Source organism: Homo sapiens, chromosome 18 (assembly GCF_000001405.40).
Source record: "Homo sapiens chromosome 18, GRCh38.p14 Primary Assembly".
NCBI lineage: Eukaryota > Metazoa > Chordata > Mammalia > Primates > Hominidae > Homo > Homo sapiens.
In genome coordinates this window covers 44,646,805-44,655,220 of record NC_000018.10, presented here as the reverse complement: position 1 = coordinate 44,655,220, position 8,416 = coordinate 44,646,805, and positions in this window count along the sequence as shown.

Below are 8,416 nucleotides of genomic sequence, written 5' to 3'. Positions count from 1 at the left end.
CCTGGTAAACAAACAACCAAGTTACCTGTCTTGCCTTTGATTTAAGGCTTATGTATGCATGGAGTATAGCCTGTAATATTTTCCAGCAGGCTCTCTACTCAAGTTATTCCAACTTGTTTAGATTTGGTGAAATCCAAGAGCTAAACAATGACTTTTGCAAGTTGCAAATTGTTTTTAAGAGGAAACTCTTCAGTTGTTGTCTGTGTAGCTTGGTAAAGGGTACTCTCTTTTGAAGCTGGGGAAAAGAGGTCCTAATTCCTATTAAGCTTTTGTTTGCAGAGACACAGGCATGATGAGGGGACTTGTCCCCCAAAACTTTGCTGCCCTCTACTTGGGATAAGTACAATTCTCCTCAGCAACAGAACCACAAGGTATTCTGTCACATTTCCCAAAGAAGCAGCAATCGAACTTTCCATGCACCGTCTGCATCACATATTTTGTGGATGACATAGGTAGCTGTGCTCTTTTGTGTCAACATTCCTTCTTTATTATATGGCATGCCCTAGTCTCTCTGTAGTCATGCCACTACTGTGGCTACTAGCCAGAAAAATTACAGAACCGTATCTAAGAAACTTGTTTATACTGGAAAGAGACCAGTCATTTTTATTATCATCATACTAACAAAATAATAACAAAGAATCAAATCATGCTTGTTGATTAAATTCTACTTGAAGAACTGAGCACGGTTTGCCCTCTGTATTTGTAGGGGATTGGTTCCAGAAACCCCAGCAGACACCAGAATCAATGGCATAGGGCCGTGGGACCTCTGTATCTGTGAGTTTCCATCTGCAGCTGGATGTGAAACCTGTGGATATGAAGGGCCAACTGTACTGACCCATATTCTTTGGGGTTCTTGATTTGATGGTAGGGGTCATATGTGTGTTGGAGGCACTGGTGGGCAGGAAAAGGGAGATGTATCTGAATCATCTGGAGACTTATTCAATTCAAAGTATTTTTGCACATTTCTATGTCTTTCTCTTTATTTTTGATTTATTCAATTATGCCCTTGAAGGACAGGTTTTTGGATTTTGAAAAAAAAAGCTTCTCAGATGATTCTGATATAATAAATGTATAATAATAATAATAAGTAACATATAATGGAAAATTGTTTGTTTGTTTGTTTTTGAGATGGAGTTTCGCTCTTTCTGACCAGGCTGGAGTGCAATGGTGCGATCTTGGCTCACTGCAACCTCTGCCTCTGGGGTTCAAGTGATTCTCCTGCCTCAGCCTCCCAAGTAACTGGGATTACAGGCACCTGCCACCATGCCTGGCTAATTTTTTTTTTGTATTTTTAGTAGAGACGGGGTTTCACCGTGTTGGCCAGGATGGTCAACCAGGGTGGTCTCGTGATCCGCCCGCCTCGGCCTCCCAAAGTGCTGGGATTACAGGCGTGAGCCACCGTGCCCAGCTGTAAAACATTTCTTGAATGCTTTCCGTGTGCTGGACACTGTCCTAAGCCCTACTCTTTCCTGTGGTTGAGACCTTTTCTCTGTGATATGCATGCAAATTGGTACTATAGTCTAGAAATTAGCTACATGAGGTCATCCACATTCACTTTCTTATACCCTTATAATGTTGTATATTTTCCATGAGAAAAATCTGTGCACTGAAAGAACAATTTCCTATGTGCCACCATATGTGACTTTGGACAAAAAATATTATTCTAAGCCTCAGTTTCCTTATTTGTGGCAAATAGGGAGAATAAAAGCTTCTTTGTCTATATTGATATATTAATGTTTACTATAATGAGATGGCTAATTCAGAGTGTGGTTAAGAAAGACAGAAACTTAGGACATTAACTGGAAATCAAAATTTACAATCAAAGAAAGTTTAACTGAATCTAATTTGGGCTAAACACCATGAGGTACAAAGAACTCTATAGTATTTCCTTGCTTCTAATGTTTTCAGTGATAAACTACATGAAATAATCAGTGAACAAGAGACCTTTGTGTAACCAACATGGTGCTAAAATATGGGTCAAAAATTAGGGAATAGACAAATCTAAGACACTATTAGCAAAAATGTTTTAAAAAAAGGCAGATAGTAACATGGACTAGATTCATGAGAGAGGTGAGACGTGAGTTAGGTCTTGAAGGTAGCAAGGTGGAAAGAAAGAAAACATATTTTTAGTAGCTGCATTGGTGGAGGCAGGAGGGCAAATCTGGAGTCCTAAGTAATCCCAGTATTATGCTATAACTCTCAGAGTCAACCCTATACACAAAAATAGAGAACATAAATTCATCGTGACATTATGCAGTGAGCATCGTCTTGTGAGGGTTACAGTGTAAGTAAAGTATGTGCCTCTGTGTGATTTGTGTCTCTGGAGGAAGTCTCACCAGAGGCAAAAGGTCAGAATTATGTCGTGTAATTCCTGTGTCCTCATAACATCCAGTATGATTCCAAGTATATTGGGAGAAACTCGGTTCACATTTTAAGTGGGTTGGAGACATAAGGAGGTTTCATAGGGTTGGCAGGTGGGATAAGGTGATAGACTTGGAACCAGAAGTTGGAAAAACAGGGCTGTGCAGAAGGGGAGTGAGAACCTTCACAGAAAATTAGCTCTCCTAAGCTATTTTCCTAAGACAAGGTCTCTGTCACATATCTCTAAAACACCCACCTCAAAAACTGGAAAGTCTGTATCTTTTCTACCCACCCTTCCCCCAACCCCAAATTTCTTTCTTTAAATGTAGACAAAAGTTGAGGCTGAGCTCGTGTGATTAATACCAGCCTGTCTTGAGTGCACCTCCATCACCCCACGGTCTTCCCATTTTTCTTAGATGCTGAGAAAATGCTTTTCACAGCTATGATGACACAGCCAGAAATATCACCTTTTGAAGACATCATAACCGTGAGATATGACACTCTTTCGGCCGTTAGAAGGTTATTTGCTGTAGCCATTAAATACAGCCCTGTCATTCCCACTCACCTGAGCCATATTTCCTCCTTCAATAGATTATCCATAAATATAGGCTCAGGTACAAATAGAAATAATGAACATTCACAGATAAAGAAGACATGCACAGCCAAATCCTGCCTGAAGATAAGAGAACAGTCCTCCCTAGAGCAGGCTCAGCAGAGCCCAGAGGCCAGGTCTCCTGGAGGGGTCCCAGGGACTCAGGGCAATGTGGCAATGCAGAGTCCATGCCTGCTAAATTCCAAAGATGTTACAGACTGCCCACTTGGTACTCCAGCCTACTTTGTTGACATTTATTAATTAGAATTATTAGTAGCAGCTTGTCCAGAATTTAGCTTCAGTTAATATTAGTATTTTTAACAAGACATTGTGTTGTTCGTATAGATTCCATAATTTCCAAAGGACTAAACAGGTTTACTCGCTTAATCTAAGTAATTTTACATATTCCAGTCCAGATGCCTTATTATCTTCTGTGCGTTCAGCACTTTCTTAAGAACCTGATGAAATAAAATAAAAATGTAAAAAAAAAAGTGACAATTTAGCATCAAACTGTGCCAAAACTTTTGGCCTTACGCAAGAGTGAAACAACAACACTAAAACTAAATGCGAGACTGAGTAGCACTGGTGACTAATTCCGCAGGCATTTGTAGAGAAAGATAACCAACGATCTCCTGGGACTGATAGGACTTTAGCTGGGCCTTGGGAGTGGCAGGTATGCAAAGGGCCTTTATCTGGGTTCTCAAAACTTGGAACCCTGTAGAGAGTTTGGCAGATTATCGGTAGGAGTGAGTGGAAATTTGAGAAGGGAGGAATATCTCTGAAATGAATGGGAATATTTGCTGCAAAGTAATATAAGACCTAAATTGCTCACGAGACTTCTAGCATTGAGGAAGATAACCCTGGGCAAATTAAGTCTTGGAAATAATTTGTAGATTTGTGTAATACTGTGATATAGCGATTCCCAAGGATGATCTACAAACACAGAAACAACTTCTTCATAAGTGTTTGTGTACCCCATCATTAAAAAATATGTTTCACCCAATGAGAGAAAACCCAGGGAATACCATGACAGGTATGGGATTAGTGTCATTTTGTGCTTCCAGATAGATTTGTCTACCACGGAGTAAAAACATAGTGACCTATCTACAAGTTGTATTTTTGTCTATCGGCCTATGCATGAAGTTGATGCATTTGATTGGCCAAGAGGACTTGCCTCATGCAGAGGCTCCCAGTAAATAAAATGAGATTGCTTTTCATAAACATGCATTCATTTCACAAGCTCATACCTTCAATTAGTGAAATATTTTCATGTGCTAATGCCTCTGTTTTTAGAATAAAGTGTAATTAATTTTTAACCCTCAAAGTACATGACACACTTATATGCAGGTTAAGTGCTTTATGCATTTTCAACAGCTTCCAGATCTTTAGTGTATCATCTGAAGCTGTAACATACACATAAAATTCATATACATATGTTTATAAAAGTTCTTGCAAGGACAGAGAGAAAGAGAGAGAGAGAGAGAGACAGACATTTGTTCATACACATATTGAAAGCAATTTTAGTTTGAGATCTGGCCATAGGCTGCCAGGATTGGAAGAGAGCTACATACAACAGTGCGTGAAGAGATTGGGTTGGCCTGATTTTGACCCTCAACAGTCTGTTTGCACACAGTAGCTGGGAAGGTGCTTTTGAAAAGTAAGGCAGTTTTGTTAGTTGCCTGCTCAAGGCCCTCCAATGGCTTCCTATTGAAAAGGAAACAGTAGGTTAGAAAACAACCTAAAGTCCTCATCTCAGCCTACCAGACCCTTCTCCAACTGGCCCCGGTTACCTCTTATTTATTTACGATCATTTTTGTTCACTCCACCCTCACTGACCTTCTCGCTGTTCTTCAAAGATGCTTAGCGGGTTTCTGGCCCAGAGTCCTTTTCCTTGATGCTCTCTCTGCCTGGAACACAATTCTCTCAGACACGCACATGGCTGACTTCCTCCCTCCACTCAGGTCTCTGCTCAAAGGCCACCTCTGCAGCGAGTCCTTCCCTGATCACCCCATTTAAGATTGCCCCCATGTCTTCTCTGGCCCACTGTCTTGCTTCCTTTTGCATCACAGGAGTTAGCACGACCTGACATTTTATAATACATCTATTTGTTATTCCTTTAGTTTATGTTTCCTAAATAAGGATGGCAGTTCCACAAAGGATGGCTTATGTCTTGTTTTCAGCTGTATGTCTGGCACATAGTAGATACCTATTAAAAGCTTGTTGAGGCCGGGTGCGGTGGTTCATGCCTGTAATCCCAGCACTTTGGGAGGCCGAGGCGGGCAGATGACCTGAGGTCAGGAGTTCATAGACCAGCCTGGCCAACATGGCAAAAACCTGTCTCTACTAAAATACAAAAATTCGCCAGGCATGGTGGCATGTGCCTGTAGTTCCAGTGACTCAGGAGGCTGAGGCAGGAGAATCACTTGAACCCGGGAGGCAGAGGTTCCGGTGTGCCGAGATTGTGCCACTGCACTCCAGCCTGGGTGACCAAGTGAGACTCTGTCTCAGAAAAAAAAAACAAAAACCAAAAAGCTTGTTGAATGAAAAAACAAAAATAGCAGAATAGTATTTCTTGGCTTATTTACTTACTTAGTAATTCATTTATTATGACCACCATATGCCTACAACCCAATCTGAGAACTGGAATATGATTAAATGTATCAGAGAATGTCATAGCCCTATGTCGGCCCTTCCTCCCTCACTTGGTCTCCCCCATCCAAGGTAATATTTATCTTAGGTTTTGTGTTATAATTTTCTTCCTTTTAAAACATAGTTTTATTTATATATATGTATATATATATATTATACCTATATATGTATTTAAATTGTATTTTGCTTTGAATGCATTTTTCATTTTGTTTGATTCTGAATTTCATTTAAAAAGAATATCATTCTACATGTAATCTCCTGAGACTTTTTCCCACTCAATATTTTTGGTTCCTCAATATTGTTTTGCTATTATATCACTTTGATATTATTTTATTTTTCTATTTCGATATATGGCTATAGTCCATTCATTTTGTGTAGCTGTATCTATTTTGTGACTGTATCATGATTTATTTTCACCTTGCTGTCAAACAAGTGTCCTAGGATGGGGCTCCCATTCAAGACTTGAAGAAATTCAGGCAGGGCACAATAGCTCACATCTATAATCCCAGCTTTTTCAGGAGGCTGAAGCAGGAGGATCACTTGAAGCCAGGAATTTGAGAACAGCCTGGGCAACATACAAAGACCCTATCTCTACAAAAATAAATTAAAAAAAAATAGCCAAGCCTGATGGCACATGCCTGTAATTCCAGCTACTTGGGAGGCTGAGGAAGGAGGAGAATTGCTTGAGCCCAAGAGTTCAGGGTTGCAGTGAGCTGATTGCACCAGTGGAAAAGAAATTTGTCAGAGTTCTTAAGCAATGTGTCCAAGGCCCCTGGAGTAGTTGGTGGGGATCTGGCTCAGATTCTCTAATGAGGATTCTTTCCAGTTTGTAAAAGCTTGTTAGGGGGCATTTTGAGTGTAATGTTTCATATTCAGTCAAAAACAGGCCCTGTTCTGCAATCTCTTGCCTTTTTTTCCTCTAAAGCGGCCTCTCCTAGTTTTTTAGAGCTGGGCTCACTTTCACATTCCCATCTGTAGGCTCAGCCCCATGTACACTCCCAAAGCAAATATGGTGGAAAGATGAAGTATCTTAATGGCACTGACATGGAATTTCAAATCAAGTCCCCTCAGAACCCAGTGTAAGAGTCTTTGTTGCCAGAAGACTCAGGAGCAGTGCCCTGCCACCCAGTTCCAGCATGGCACTGTTAGCTTGCTATTCTTCCCTGTTGGCTCTACACCATTTTCATGTTTTTGTGAGTGCTGTACTGCTATCCTGTCCAGGATTTTGGTTTTCTTTCTAGAAATAATCCTTTTCCATGAAATGCAGCCCAGCTTTGTACCTTGCCTTGCCTTTCCCAGTCTTATTCCTTAAATTCTAGAAGGGAATCTTTTCCAAATATGGCTGCCAAGACCCAACAGCATATGAGTCCTCTACCGTGGAGCCATGCTAGCTTGACCTGACCTCTAGTGCCAGTCACCCTCGGACCTGTGCTGGAAGCCATTGTGTTTATGGAGACAGGCTTTTCCTTTCAGCTGCACACCAGGAATTTGTCTTTTATATAGCTAGAATAGATTCTTTGAATTTGTGAAATAAATGGCTGAAATCAGAGGTGGGATTTGTGACCAAAGACCAGAGAGCCTATAACTAGTCTAGCTGGGGAATAAAACCCACGTGATATAATTTGAGGCAAAAATGAGCATATGTAATATTGACATAACTTTGTGATGCAAGATCACTCATTGTTGGAGACAGTGTACATTTGTATAATATTTTGGAGAACAACTTTATAGCATGTATCCTTCAGATAGCCATGATTTTGGCCCTACATATCCACTTCAGAAAACATATGCTAAGGAGATAATTTTAAATACAGAAAAACTTTATGCATAAAGATGTTCTCCAGCATTACATAGCCACAAAAATGTAATAATCAATATGTCCATTAGAATAATAATTATAGTACCTCCATCAGAAGAATGGTATTCATCTTAAAGCTTTCATGCTAACTTTGAAAAATATCAGCATTATAATATTAGAATGTTTTACAAAAAATTAAAATTCCACATATGGTATAATTACAAGTGTGAAAAACAGTCCTCTTGCCCCATTAAGTATGCCAGGAAATAAAGGTAATGAAGATCCTCCAAAAATTTAAAAGTGGTGGAATTATAGCTGTCCTCTAGCTTTCAAGGTTTTGTTTGTCTTCCTTGGAAATATGTATCACTTTTATAGGGAGAAAAAAAGTAACCAAAGTAAAACAAATTAAACATGCCACCTTGTCAATTATGAACACACATAAAAGATATACAGTAGAGTGAGAAAACTAGCCTCAAAGGGTTTTAAACTGCCTCCTTCCCACATAGATCTCTCACCCCATTGAGCTCAGAGGATGGAAGCCTTTTCGAGCTGCTGGTGAAACACCTGCTTTAGAGATCAAATTCAGGAGTAGAAATAGACCCAAGACATCAAATAATTTACTCCATGGTAAAGGTAGCCTTTGGAATCCAGGAATCAGATAATTTGCATAAATGCATTTAGAACAATGTCTTGGCACATAGTAAATGCTTTTAAAAAGGTGAGATATTATTACTGTTGTCAATATTCAGTACATGGTATTGAATAGGTACTATCAATTTAGGAAAATACATACCAATAAAACTCCGAACATTAGATTGTATATGAAAACAAATTTCAAACAGATGAGAAATTCAAATACCAAAAAGTAAATCAATAAGCCAACCAGAAGAACATTCAGAGTACAGAAGTCCCTTCTCAATATAAACACCAAAGTTAGGTTCCTTTAGGCATTAGAAAGATAATCACTTTAACCATAAGTCATTAAAATTGTGTGTAGTAAAGGAAATTAAGAAAAC